This window comes from Homo sapiens, chromosome 4 (assembly GCF_000001405.40).
Source record: "Homo sapiens chromosome 4, GRCh38.p14 Primary Assembly".
Classification (NCBI taxonomy): domain Eukaryota; kingdom Metazoa; phylum Chordata; class Mammalia; order Primates; family Hominidae; genus Homo; species Homo sapiens.
Genome location: NC_000004.12, coordinates 56,186,265 through 56,201,769, shown reverse-complemented (window position 1 = coordinate 56,201,769; position 15,505 = coordinate 56,186,265). Strand labels below are relative to the sequence as shown.

General features: G+C 39.1%; 1 protein-coding gene across 6 annotated transcripts in view; it reads right to left on the bottom strand.

Moving 5' to 3' along the window:
* Window positions 1-15,505, bottom strand: part of CRACD (capping protein inhibiting regulator of actin dynamics) — a 281,512-nt gene that overhangs the window by 128,840 nt on the left and 137,167 nt on the right. For 2 of the 6 annotated variants that reach the window (XM_047415994.1, XM_047415995.1), the window contains exon 3: window positions 5,343-5,426. The exons of the other annotated variants lie outside the window; for them this stretch is intronic. In XM_047415994.1, coding sequence (XP_047271950.1) covers window positions 5,343-5,409 — 67 coding nt within the window. In that variant the 5' untranslated portion in view covers window positions 5,410-5,426. The remainder of the gene's footprint in view (window positions 1-5,342; window positions 5,427-15,505) is intronic. 6 annotated transcript variants of the gene reach the window in all.

The window sequence follows — 15,505 nt, the reverse complement described above, 5'->3', positions numbered from 1 at the left end:
GGGTATCCACTTGCCAAAATCCTTCATTGCACTCAACATTATCAATTTTCAAAATTGTTTCTATGGACTTGAAAAACAATTTTCAAAACTGTTTCCATGGACTTGAAAAACTGTTTTCATCTACATCCCCCAAGCATCTTTTCAAGTATTTTTTTGGCCATCTGTGAAACTTCCGTAAATGCATTTCATACCCACCGTCTATTTTCCCATTGACTGTCTTTCTCTTGTTGTTCCCTCTTACATGCTCACTGCTCAGTCCTCCCATCAATGCTACTGGAAATCACTCCACAATGCCCAGTGCCAAGTTTGCCCTCAGTTTAAGGGAAGAGCATCATCTAAAGACATGCCAGTTTTATCAATTAATTTAAGCTTTTACTGTTTTCATGCCCTAGAATGCAGGAACAAAAGATATCTATCAACTACTAATGACCAAAAGTCTAAAGCTTTAACAGTGCTCTGGAAAGTTCAAGTATAAAGAGAGACGGTTTATTTTAGAAAGCATCACATCACCGCATACATAGCCATTAAGTTATTTTCTTCACTTTAATATTTTCATGTGTACACACAGCAGTAAAATCACAGCACACCTCAGCACACTCTGAGTAGCCTTAAAGAGACAGAGCCAAAGACGCTCATAAGAAATTTTAAAAATAATTAATTATCTCATTAGTCCATATAAAAATATCTGGATGTTAAGAAAAGCTGAAATAAAATGCACCAAAAAAGAACAAGAGTTTGGTTTGAATGGTGAGTTTTAGAAATCAGTATTTTTTCTCCTTCTCTTTAAACTTCCTCAATGATATTTTAATTTCATTTTTTAAAAGTAAATTTTAATTCTGAAATTAGTGGTGATGATTGGACAACTGCGTGAATATACTGGAACACACGGAATTACAAAACTTTAAAAGATGAATTTTATGGTATGTGCATTATGTTTCAATAAGGTTGTTTTACTTTTGAAAGTGAATTTTAAAAAGTAAAATACTACACTGTGCGGGCAGAGGGTTTAGGCGAACTTTCTACACTTTCTACTTAATTTTGCTGTGAGCCTAAAACTGATCTAAAAAATAAAGTCTATTAAAAAATACTACAGTGTATTCTTTGTTAATTTCTCAGTAATTTTATATTAAAAATTCTGGAAGGTAGTAGAATATATAAAAGCTATAGCAGGACAAGCCTCTTTCCAATTTCTTGTTCTTGGCAATATTTGAGGAGCATACAGTTGAAAGTGGCTTCTTAAAGCATCAGTGAAATGAGTGTCGCATATTAAAAAACTTCTGAAGGGTGACTCATATCCTATGGCAACTTACAGAGCCCCTGTGTAGAGTGATCAATGCTCCCATTATGCTTATTAGAACTAACAGTGTTAATATTGAGAGAGAAAGCATAGTTAGAGATGTCCATTCTTTTTCTTTCTAATCTGACTCAGGTTCTGGGTTCCCAACTGATGATTAGTGAAGATTTCATTGTGTTGAACTGTTTCATATAAAAAAATGAGGTTCTAGTTTAATTAAAAAGCCACAGAGGATAAATTAATTCCATTTATCAACAGCATAGTGTAACGGACAAGAGCTCTCTGGGGACTGGCATTTCTATTAGAACTTTCTATTTGACTAAGCCACAAAGAAAGGGAGAACTTACAACAAATACTGCATCTAGGATGCTCAAAGAGAAGCCAGTGTGATCACCAACATAAAGGTGAAACTGTTTTGCTATAATGAATTTGGTAAAAAATAATAGACTTCTGAATATTTGAAGTTTCTACTTTTTGAAAAAAAAATAAAAATGAAATCCATTTTTATTCCCAAACTAAATGGCAACAAAAGAATATTTCTATGTTATCGTCTAGTCTATGGAAAGAGACACTATTCCCAGCTTGGGATCCTAAAAGTCAGAAGTTTAACTTGCAGTAATGTGAAATCTGTCCTTGGAAGCTCAAAGAAGAGAAAATGTCTTTCTGGAAGGAAACTTGACAAGTTCTTAGGGAGTGAGGCATAAAGCAGAACAATATTGGTTAGATTTCAAACTAAGGGCATAAAGAAATATTAGGTTCTCTTTTTCTTTTTTTTTCTTTTCTTTTTTTTTTTTGAGACGGAGTTTCGCTCTGTTGCCTAGGCTGGAGTGCAGTGGCACCATCTTGGCTCACTGCAGCCTCTGACTCTCAGGTTCAAGCGATTCTCCTGTCTCAGCCTCTCAAGTAGCTGGGATTACAGGTGCACGCCTCAACACCCCGCTAATTTTTGTATTTTTAGTAGAGATGGGGTTTCACCATGTTGGTCAGGCTGGTCTTGAATTCCTGACCTCGTGATTCACCCGCCTCGGCCTCCCAAAGTGCTGGGATTACAGGCATGAGCCACTGCGCCCAGGCAGGTTCTCTTTAAGTCTGTTACTCACACCTAAATTAACTTGCTGATAAAAGCATGAAAAAGATGCTATTAGAGTGAAAATATCTATATAACCAAACATTTGCAAATTGGAGCTAGTGGCCTGCTTTATACAATATTTGCCACAACATTTCAGCACTTCTACTTTCAGTTTGCTACTTTGATAGTATTTTTGTGGGCAACATCTCATTTAAGTGGCTATTTTTCCCCTGATCATCCTTCCACGGCAGTGTAACTCAGGAGGAACACCTGTGACACATATGTATCAGGCAAGACCACTCCTAAAGAACTCGTGGGCTTGCCTACTGTATATGCACCAAGCTGTCAGGGTTGACTGCCCCCAAAATGCCACTCCATTCCAGAGGAGATGAAAAGGAGCCCACCAAAACATAAACAAAAACCCAGAAGCTGGTAAAAAAAAGTCAGGAAGTAAATAATGAAAGAAAAACAGGAAATTGACTACTGAACACTACATAATCGATGGCTCCTCAGATTTTATGAAATCTGAATCACGAGTCACCAAAACGAAAACTAGTCCCCCCTCTAACGTTAATACTTTGGTCTTATTTTTAAATATATTATTTTTTCTACACCGTTTATTTTCCCCTTCAACTTTAAGAGCACAAATTTATATTGTCTTTTTTTTGTTTACTTTCAGTCAGCGTGAGGAAGGGACACATTTTCTCTTTCCATCTTACAGACAATAAAGGGACATGGCCCTGACTCTTAAGAAAAATGGTACTTGTGAAATAACTCAGAGCATCGTACCTGGCACACAGTAGATAATAAAACTCTCATACATAGAGAATAAGACCTCTTCTCTGGGTTTTATGCTTCTACTTCTTCACAAGTACTAAGTAGTTCAGTGCATACTTTCTAATTGTTTTGTCTCCTCCTATTAATATTTCCATACTAAACACTAGCCTCCGCCCTACTCCAGGACCAGATGGGTAGAATATCTTGTTGTATTATACAAGGGTAAGAATGAGACTACTATGGGTCTGCTTCTTCACTGATGAATGCTAGAGCCAACTTCAAAGACCTATGATACCACAAATTCCCTCAGGACAAAGTGCACCTCCTCTCTTCTTTTTGAAGTTCATGGTCAATGGGCTGCACATTTTCTTATATTTCAAAGAAATGATAGCTTAAGACGTATGGTGGATGTACCGCCATTTTATATGTACGTTTTTGATTTCTGAAAATGGAATCTGATTTGGGATTTAAATAAGAGATCAACTCCTTTATGCTCCTAAATACCAACAAGTAACTGTGGAACTGTGCAGATGAATCACACAGCAAAGTAAATTAGTGATTTCTAATGAGGAAAGATAAGAAATAATGTAGTCGAAGAAGTCACAGAATCAAGAAAAATAGGATGCATTTCTTAAATTAAAAAAAAATCACCCGGCTGGGTGCAGGTGCTCACGCCTGTAATTCCAGCATTTTGGGAGGCCGAGGCGGGCGGATCAGAAGGTCAGGAGATCGAGACCATCCTGGCTAACACGGTGAAACCCCGTCTCTACTAAAAATACAAAAAATTAGCCGGGCGTGATGGCGGGTGCCTATAGTCCCAGCTACTTGGATGGCTGAGGCAGGAGAACGGCGTGAACCCGGGAGGAGGAGCTTGCAGTGAGCAGAGATCCCACCACTGCACTCCAGCGGGGCAACAGAGTGAGACTCCGTTTCAAAAAAAAAAAATCACCCTGCACAACAAGGAAATAGAGAGGTCTAATAGACTTTGTAACCTCCCTAGAGATGTGGTAAAAGCCTCATTGTCTGAGTCACAGAAAATTATGCTGGGCCAGGCTTTCACAAACACACTGTAAAATCATATATTGGCCAGAGGGTGTGTGTTGGTGATGTGGGGGAAAGAGGGAGGGAAGAAAGAGAAGTTTGGTGTTAGCATGTTGAGAATGTCTTCCTAGCTCTCCTGTTCCTAACTTTGATTTCTACTTTCCTAAAGAGAAAAGTGTGTAACATCTAAATAAGCTATTTTCAACCTACTATTTTTTTTAAAGGGAGAGAAACTCTGCTCTGAATTAACTAAAACAGAGCAAAAAATACCCCACAGAGGAAATTAACTGGCAAGAATGAATTAGCTACATTTTTTTTTTTAATCTCTGCCAAGAAAGTGTGATAAATCCAATCATCGACAGTTTCCCTGTAAGTTACTGGAAGGAATTTTGCAAGAAAAAAAATAAAATGGGAATATAAAATCAAAATGTTCTGATCACTACTAATAAAAACATATATTTTAGGACTTATTCAATGTAATATATTATGATAATTCTTATTTATCTGGTATTATTGAAGGATGATGTTAACTAAATCCCCTATCCCTATCAGTATCAACATTTTTGAAAATTAAAGCATTTTTGATGGGAATTTTTCTATAATAGATGATATACTGAATGGAATACTGGACGTTTCAGGGCCATTGCTATTAAGCTTTGATGCAATAAAATGATGTCTTGAGGAGAAACTGAAGTAAATATACAACAGTCTGTCCCTCTCGATGGCCCTCTATTTTAAAGTATTTTGGTGCCTATTTTAAAGTAAGTTTTCTGCCTCTTCCTTTCACATTTCAAGTGTCTTATTAGTTAGGTGAGTCTGATTTTCATAATTGCTTCTCCTTTCTAATTTATTGCTTCTTGTGCTTATGAGATAGAAAATTAGATAATCAAGCATGATAGAATTATAGTAAAGACAGAGTCACTAGATGTTGAGCAAGAGCCTAAAAGGAGTTTAGTGCAGAGGACGGATGGCATCTGTTTAAGCTGCTTTAGCTGTTGCTTTTGCTTATATCTAGGTGCTTTGATGTGTCCTAGACAGATGAGGTTATTGTACAATTTATCTATTGGTAAATCCAGGTATTTTTCTACACTAAAAAGAATATAGAATAGGGGGCTTCTGTCTCTTTAATTTGCAACTCAGAGTCACCACTTTGTACCATACCTGAAACATCAGCACTCACAGCCTCATTATGGACATTCTTTGTAAGTTTACTTTCCTCCATGGCCATGACTTTGTTAAACGTCACTGAAATAAAAAGTACAGCATGCAAATCTATGAGCACAAAGCTTATGAAATTGGCAGGGGGAGTGTCCCACTGTTATCAATTCTGTCCTGTATCCTCCATTTCTGTGAAAGAAAGTACATTACCTTTCATCATGGTCATCACATAATATGCAAAAAAATGGAAGAGATGGAGGAAACAAACTGATACCTGTAATAAAACACTGACATTATTATTGCTTTTCACACTCTCTAAAAACTGCACATTCACTGAATTACAGTCTCCATCAAATTCCTGACTCTTATCCTGATGGAGAAATTTACCTACCTGAAAAGGAAAGGTAGGGTTATTTCAGGGACGCTTTCCTTTTTAGTATTAACAGAGGCAATGTTTATACTGAATGAAACTACTTAATCCCTAAACTATGCGTAAGAAAAATATATCTTGCCAAATTTACAACCCTCTCACATTGCATCTATTCTATTTCAAAATGATCTCTAATACCCAAAGATTTGTATTGTGTTATTACAGTATAATTTCTCATCATATTCTTAGGATAAGAGAACAGGTTGATAAAACAAGATAATGATAATGTTTTCTATTGTTCCTGTGTTATTTTCCCAATAACGCAGAAGTTTTCACAGATACTCATTCTTACAGAGGTTGTTTATTAGAAAAATATATTCTGGATTCACGACCAAAGGCAAAAATAATTTCTGAAACATTTACATTTATATAAAGTCAATTTTTGCCCTTCTGTATTGTCAGTTATGAAACATTTCCATTTTTAAGTTTTGTTTCCTTAGAAAAATTAAATTCCATGTGCTTTTCTAGCATATGCCCATAGGTTTCTCTGAGACCCACCTTCCTACTTGATATGAGTAATCACCTAAATTGTCTTAATACCTTCATGTCATTTTTTTTTAGTCTTTCTTACACTTTTTCTAGGATTAACCCCATTTTTGAAGCATTCATTTATCTGCATTTCCATAAACTTTAAACTTCTGACTTTTGGAATTTGTGTAGCTTTTACAGCTATTTCTTACAATATTTTGCCATGAAAATTGACGCATCTTTTCCCCGCATATTTATAGCCATGTTCTGACTGCCCTCCCCTCTAAGCCTGGAAACTCCCGTATTCTGGAATGCTGGTTGTTTGTATTAAGCGAGCCATGTGTCCTCCCACTTGCACATCACAGTATAAAGTATTTCCTTAAACTCAAAATATCCTTTTATTGACCTCTTCCATCCCAAAGTCTTAATCTGTTAAAGACTCACATTATCCATGAAGAACCTCAAGTAGAAAAGATCAAACTCAATACTTTCTATTAACATTACAAAAAGTATCTCACTTTTAAAAGTCCTAAATGTATTACTTCCATCCCTCTCTTAATATTACTGAACTTATTGCTGTGACAACACAGTCTCCACATAAATGTCATGTCTCCATTTGGACTTGGCCAGATCTATCCCAGAGGTTCAAACTACTGGAGAGGGTCAAGCCACTTCCAGAGAACTATCTCTATGTCCCAGGTGTCCCTGTCCATTTGGGCTGCTATAACAAAATGCCATAAATTGGGTAGCTTATAAACAACAGAAATTTATGTATTTCTCATTGTTCTGGAGGCTGGAAATTCCAAGGCTCCAGATTTGGTGTCTGGTGAGGGTCCAATTTCTGGTTCTTAGATGGTGCCTTCTTGCTGTGTCTTCATGTGGCAGAAGGTATGAGGGAACTCTCTTGGGTCTCCTTCATAAAAACATTAATCCCATCTATAAGGGCTCTGCCCTCATGGCCTAATCACCCCCCAAAGGCTGTATATCCTAATACTATCACCTTAAGGGTTAGCATCTTAACATATGAATTTCAGGGGGGGATGCAAACATTCAGATCATGGTTTTACTTTTCATTTTGTTTGCCTCTGAAACATAAGCAATAACGTTAGTTGTTCCTTATTCAATTTTGATTCCTTTTATGTATCTCTTAGCTGCTTCCTTGGCTTAATTGCTCCATGTTGCTCACTTAAATCCCATCACCCTAGAGAATTGGGTATTTTGAAGCTTCACCACTTTTTTCTTTACCACTGTCATATTGCTGTGAATGGTACATTATTGCTTCTGATTGAAATTTCCTGGGCCTGGCTTACAAATGCCCGCTGTTGGATTGGTCTGAAATCAGTTACACATTTTCTTTTATAGAATCTTTTGCCACTGTATACTGCAAAGTCTTGCCTGTGACTTTGTCCTTTACAATCGGCCCATCTAATAATGGAATACTAGTAAAGAGATAGGAAAATATATCAAGATAGTTCACTATGTAAAAGAATGTATTCCTAAGCATTTTATGCCTACCTATGCTGACTTTTATAGTGCTCTTATTGCTATATTTTTCCATTTAATCCAAGTCATCAACTACTCACTGAGTGCCCACAAAGCCTATAATATCAAACTACACAAACAGAGGATAGAAAAAGAAGTCATAGGCTGTCCTCAGTGATTTTACAACCTCAACAAAAGCAGGATAGAGGATGCTCCAGTATTGGAATATAAAAAAAAAACAGAAACTTTTTTCCTGATCTTCTAAATAAAACATAATAGCCTATAAGCATTCTTTGACTGAGTATACACCAATTTGACTATTTGTAAGTGAGTCTCTGAGATTGATTATGTGTATGACACTGGGTATACAACAAGTAGCAATTTGCAATTTTGTTGAAGAATGATTCTCATAACTTAATATCAACATCTGAATCTCAATATACTTTTGTTATTCTCTACTCATACTGCATTTTTCTTTTAGGGAAAATTATATGCTGGAGTGAAAGGAACAATTTGGGAAGGAAGAAAATCTCTAGACATGTCCTCAGAAAATCTCAACAGTCTACAGTATACCATACTTTTTATTTTTCTTTTCTCACACACCCTTTCTTTTGCCAATTTCTTTTAAATAGTCTCCCCCAAATGAAGCAGTGCTATGATAACAAACTTTGATCATTTTATGTGGTGGGTGTATCCCGAGGCTGGTGACATGGTTTGGCTCTGTGTGCCCCCCTACAAATTTCACCTTGAATTGTAATAATCCCCACGTGTCATGCCATGGACCCAGTGGGAGGTAAGTGAGTCATGGGGGCAGGTTTTTCCCCTGCTGTTCTCATGATAATGAATAAGTCTCACGAGATCTGATGGTTTTATACAGGGGAGTGACTCTGCACAAGCTCTCTTGCCTGCCGCCATGTAAAACATCCCTTTGCTCTTCCTTTGTCTTCCACCATGATTGTGAGGCCTCCCCAGCCAAGTGGAACTGTGAGTCCATTATACCGCTTTTTCTTTATAAATTACCCAGTCTTGGGTATGTCTTTATTAGCAGCATGAGAATGGACTAATCAGCTGGGCACTCAAAGATGAATCAGACACTGTCCCTGCCATGGAGGAACTCATAGTCTTGTGTTAAGTGTTGTCTGTTTCGGGTGAAGAGAAGCTAATATTAATCAATCTTATCCCATTCCATTTAATTTCAGGTATCATGAATCTATGTGGAATTTCAAAGATCTTTCATGTCTGTGTTTTGCAGGGAAAAGTTCACTTTTTTTCAGATCAGGAAAAGGTCTTCTCATTCTACTTAAAATCCGGGGTCTTCCTTTGAGTACTTTGTTTTTTCTGCATGGGAAAATGTTTATGGTTTTTTTTCTTTCCCAAAGCTTATTTTTAAAACAAAATTTTCATGATATGGTATATATTAGACTTTAATCCTTTTTCTATCTCTTGGTCTGAGTTCTTTTCAACTCATTTCATTTCTCTACTGTTCCTCATCATGAACCTCTTCCCACAAGTCTTCACATTAGATTTCACATTTGTATCACGCCCTATTTAGTAACTACAGGATTAGATATATGTTGCTGAAATCTGTTGGGCACTGGATATGACATTGTTAAAAGTTAAAATTCCCAGCACAGTATACTTTCTTTTTTTTTTTTTGAGATGGAGTCTTGCTCTGTCGCCACTCAGGCTGGAGTGCATTGGCACGATCTTGGCTCACTGCAACTTCTGCCTCCCGGGTCCAAACAACTCTTCCACCTCAGCCTCTCTAGCAGCTGGGATTACAGGTGTGCACCACCATGCTCGGCTAATTTTTGTATTTTTAGGAGAGATGGGGTTTTGCCATGTTGGCCAGGCTGGTCTCGAACTCCTGACCGCAGGTGATCCTCCCGCCTCGGCCTCCCAAAGTGCTGGGATTACAGGTGTGAGCCAATGCGCCTGGCCAGTATACCTTCTTGAATAAAGAGTAAACTTATCACAAAATGATGAGTTTTGTTCTTACTTCAATATACAGTAGGTTCATATTTATATACAGTTTAAAAGGTCTTGATTTTGACAGAAAATAATTCTTCTGGGCAGTTCTAGCACACAATTTGTCTGATGTATTGTGAAAACAAGAGCTCTACATCTGGGACTGAGAGAAGGGAGTTTAAGCAGATTCATGTACAAGAAAGCCTTTACTGGTCTTTATTTGATTATCACTGCCAAGGTTACTATAAAAAGAGTTCACAGTTTATCCATGGCTGTGTATCACAGATGTTAATTTGTTTTGTTTCACAACTCAGAATTCACTTTCTCTTAGAAATAACGTCGTACATGGTGGTTGGGCGTTCCACACAGGTCTCAGAATGGAGGCAAACGCCCTGACTGCAGGCAGTGCTGCCGCAGAACACATGTCCTGGGGCAGGTAGAATAATGGCTCTCCAAAGACGTCCACTTTCCAATTCCCAGAACTGTGAACAGGGGATCAGATGTGCTGAAGTTAAGCATGTTGCAGTTGGAAGATGAGCCTGGATTATCTGGATGGGCCCAGTATATTCACAAGGGTCTTTATAAGAGGGAGGCAGAAATGTCAAAATCACAGGAGAGGATGTGATGGTAGAAGCAGAGGTCACAGAGAGAGAGGGAGGGAGACAGGGAGGAACAGAGGGAGGGAGGGAGGAAGGGAGGGAGGGAGAGAGGAAGACTGGAAGATGCTATGCAGCTGGTTTTGAAGAGGGAGGAAGGGGCCACAAGCCAAGGAAGGCAGGTGGCCTCTAGAAGCTGAAAAACACAAGGAAAGGGATTCTCCCCTAGAACCTCCAGAAGGAGCCAGGCCTGCTGACTCATTTGAGACTTCTGATCTCTAGAACTACAATTTGTGTTGTTTTAAGCCACTATGTTTATGATACTTTGTTACAGTGCCAATAGAAAATGAATACACATTCTAGGAAAATTATCAAGGTTTCTCTGGTCAAATAATTTTGGGATACATTATTCACTTTATCTCCTCAATGCCTACAATTTGAGAAGTCCCATGATATGGTTTGGCTGTGTCCCCATGAAAATCTCATCTTGAATTGTAATCCGCATAATCCTCATGTATCTAGTGAGAGATCTGGTAGGAGGTGATTGCATCATGGGGGTGGTTTCCCCCATGCTGTTCTCAGGATAGTGCATTTATTTATTTTTTATAGCCCTCACGGAGCACCTCTGCTAGAGCAATGTGGAAGGGAAATGTGGGGTTGGATTCCCCCCACACAGAATCCCCACTGGGGCACTGCCTAGTGGAGCTGTGAGAAGAGGGCCACGTCCTCCAGATCCCAGAATAGTAGATCCGCAGACAGCTTGCACCATGTGCCTGGAAAAGCTGCAGACGCTCAATGCCAGCCCGTGAAAGCAGCTAGGGAGGAGGCTGTACCCTTCAAAGCTACAGGGACAGAGCTGTCCAAGGCCATAGAAGCCCACCTCTTATATCAGCATGACCTAGATGTGAGAACAGACTAATACATCCTGCAAGAAAAAATCTTATTTAACTTTGTTTAATTCAGAATCGCCCAAAGTATTTAACCATAAACATTTTCAAGAAATACTTTTTATTTCTCCACATCTGGAGAAATAGGAACACTTTTACACTGTTGATGGGACTGTAAACTAGTTCAACCGTTGTGGAAGTCAGTGTGGCGATTCCTCAGGGATCTACAACTAGAAATAGCATTTGACCCAGCCATCCCATTACTGGGTATATACCCAAAGGACTATAAATCATGCAGCTATAAAGACACATGCACATGTATGTTTATTGAGGCACTATTCACAACAGCAAAGACTTGGAACCAACCCAAATGTCCAACAATGATAGACTGGATTAAGAAAATGTGGCACATATACACCATGGAATACTATGCAGCCATAAAAAATGATGAGTTCATGTCCTTTGTAGGGACATGGATGAAATTGGAAATCATCATTCTCAGCAAACTATCGCAAGAACAAAAAACCAAACACCACATATTCTCACTCATAGGTGGGAATTGAACAATGAGAACACATGGACACAGGAAGGGGAACATCACACTCTGGGGACTGTTGTGGGGTGGGGGGAGGGGGGAGGGTTAGCATTGGGAGATATACCTAATGCTAGATGATGAGTTAGTGGGTGCAGCGCACCAGCATGGCACATGTATACATATGTAACTAACCTGCACATTGTGCACATGTACCCTAAAACTTAAAGTATAATAATAATAATAATAGTAATAATAATAAATAAAATTTAAAAAAAGAAAAAAAGAAAATGTGGCACATATTCACCATGGAATACTATACAGCCATAAAAAATGATGAGTTCATGTCCTTTGTAGGGGCATGGATGAAGCTGGAAACCATCATTCTCAGTAAACTATTGCAAGGACAAAAAACCAAACACCGCATGTTCTCACTCATAGGTGGGAATTGAACAATGAGAACACATGGACGCAGGAAGGGGAACATCACACACCAGGGACTGTTGTGGGGTGGGGGGAGGGGGGAGGGATAGCATTAGGAGATATACCTAATGCTAAATGACGAGTTAATGGGTGCAGCACACCAACATGGTACATGTATACATATGTAACAAACCTGCAGGTTGTGCACATGTACCCTAAAACTTAAAGTATAATAATAATAAAATTTTTTTAAAAAAAGAAATACTTTTTAAATATTCCTTAGAATTACTGTTCCATGGAACTACTTTAGGAAATAATGTTTAAGGAGTTATGCTATGGATAATGGCAGTGGGAAGAGAGGCAGACATTCTTGCATATATTTATCTAGCCTGAAATCCCAATCACTGAAGTCACTGAATCACAGCTGAGTGTCCAATATGGTTTTTGGTTTTTTTTTTTTTGAGACAGTGGCTTACTCCCATTGTCTAGGCTACAGTGTAATGGCATTATCTTAGCTCACTGCAACCTCTCCCTCCCAGGTTCAAGCAATTCTCATGCCTCATCCTCCTCAGTAACTGGGACTACAGATGCATGCCACACATCTGGCTAATTTTTGTATTTTTAGTAGACATGGGGTTTCACCTTGTTGGCAAGGCTGGTCTCGAACTCCTTAGGTGATGCACATTCTTAAGTGATCCACCCGCTTCGGCCTTCCGAAGTACTGGGATTACAGGCGTGAGCTACCGCACCCAGCCCATTATGGTTTAGAGATAGGTATTCAGATGAGGGTGGAGGAAATGAGATATAAAGAAATGAAGGAAAATAGCACTGACTCCAAGGAGGTGGTCACTTAGTAGGGGATATGACATATTTACCAAAAATTATAAGCCAGGTGGAAAATGTTAACCCCTCTCTCTCTCTCTCTCTCTCTCTGTGTGTGTGTGTGTGTGTGTGTGTGAGAGAGAGAGAGAGAGAGAGAGAGAGAAATAGAGAGATAGAGAGAGAGAGAGAGAGAGAGAGAGGCTAGACAGATACAAATGAGCTGCTGTAGGAGTCTGGAGGGAAAAAATAAAACACTCATTTCCAGGAACGGGAGGTATCAGAGAATAAACTGGGTTGGTGTTGAATTTATCCTTTAAGGACAGCTAAGCTATTGACCAGAAGAGATGGAGAAGAGAAGATGGGCATTTGGAATTGGCAGCATCAGGGTGAGCAATCTCATCTATCATAGGCCCTCCCCAACTCAAGCACTAAGTAGTTCCTAGATGGGCCAAGCATGTCAAGCCTTGGTAAACTATGTCCTTGTCTCCTAATTCTTAAGTTCTATATTATTAGACCAATAATAAGAATTATTAGAAATTGGGGTTCCAGTTCTATGACAGTAAAACATCAAAATTCACCATAAAGAAATGAAAATAAAATGATATCGATTTTTGAAAATACATATACATATCCAAGTCCTTAATATAAAATTTAAGTTCTGTTTTAAATGCTCCTTTTGGGGGATGTTTTTCTGCATGGAATGAACTTTCTGAGGCTTCTTAAAATATGTGCCCAGTGAAGTTTAGACTAAGGATGCTTTTTCCTTTTCCTGGTAAATCTTCCAGTCATAGGATAGCCTTCTTCATCGTTCCTTGGACCTCTGAACTGCAGTTCAGAATTAGTCATTTATTTCAAGAAGCTTAACACTTAATCTGTGTGCATGTATGTAAACAATAGATTATGCTTTAACAGTAAACAGTAGTGGAGGACATTTTCCATGCTGACTTTAGCTTTCTGTTTGGTGTCAATTTTTGGTCTCCGTGGGAGCAGAAACTGTCTTGCTGTTTGTTCTTTGTCAGCCTAGAGTCCGGAGCAGTGCCTTATCCGTGGGAGGCATTCAGTGTGCGTCTGTTGAAATGATGAAAGGATCATGGGAACGAAATCTTGGCTTCACTTGGGCCAATTTAGAAGAAAAAAAAATTTATTTATTTTAATAAGGAAAAAGAAGATTAAAATGGACATTGTAGGGGTAATAAATTCAATAGCTTTTTTGTTGTTGTTTGTTTGTTTGGTTGGTTTGGGGTATTTTTTGGCTTTATCCCCTAGAAGTACTAAGATGATCGTTTGCTGGAAGAGAAGCCTGTACAGTCTATAGGCTTGATCCAAAGCTGCTGGTAAATCAAGCATTCATTTTTCTAAAGTTACATAAATGAAAGAAACGACAGGATTTAGAGGATCCAAGGGCCTCTCTTAAGAAACACGTTGACATAAATGTGACCTGCGGAGATTGTGTGCCCCCCTCGAGTGTCTGGCAAGCACCTTCTCATCTTTCAAGACAGCTCGAATGACACCTCTGGGAGGCCCGCAGGCTCCCTGTGGCAGTTGTTTATGCTGCCCTTTGTGTTCCCCAGCACTCTGTGCAAAACTCTCTCAAATATCACTAATCACACTTCACCCGGTTATCTGTTTACATATCTGAATTCAATTTGATAAAATTCAATTCCCATTGCAATGCCCTAAGTATTTGCTAGGGCAATGCTAGATTCAAAGGTTCAATGGCAAATTCAAAGCCTCTGGTTGTTTTTTTTTTTTCTTGGATAGGGTCTTGCTCTGTTGCCCAGGCTGGAGTGCAGTGGCATGATCATGGCTCACTGCAGGCTCAACCCTCTAAGCTCAAGCCATCCTCCCACTTCAGTCTCCCTGTGAGTAGCTGGGACCACAGGGGTGCGCCATCATGCCTGGCTAATTTTCTAAAAATTTGTGGTTAGAGATGAGGTCTCACTATGTTGCTCAGGCTAGTGTTGAACTCCTGGGCTCATGCAGTCTTCCCGCCATGGCCTACCAAAGTGCTGGGATTACAAGCATGGGCCACCGTGCCTGGCCCCCTGGCTTTTAGAAGCTACATCCTATCATGGAGGACAGACAAGATACAACTACTTACAGTTCTCTGTTAAGAGCAGGAGAACCTGAGGCAGCAGAGAGGTGACAGGAAGGAGGAAGTGACCATGAACTCCTGAACAGTATGCTTACTTCATATCCTCACCCCTCAGCACAATGTCTGGCATGTAAAAAGTTCCATGCATGTTAATGGAGGGAGGGAAGAGGAAAGGAATCAACAAAATGCCCCTACCCCATCCCCATCTCTCTGCTATTTCTTGTCAAACTAGTTACTCTAAAGTTGGTGTTTTCAAGCTCCTGGAAGAGATATCTTAGAGCATAGAGTTGATGATTCAGTCCTCCCTAGCATATAGTACAGTATACAACAATCACATTTGATGGAGACAAGTCATCGTTTGTCCTGTGTTTAACTGTGGTCCCATGGCACCTGTTCATAAACACTACACTCCCAGGAAGTCTACAGGAAAGAGACTTGCAGACAGGTTGCATTTGCTGAACCA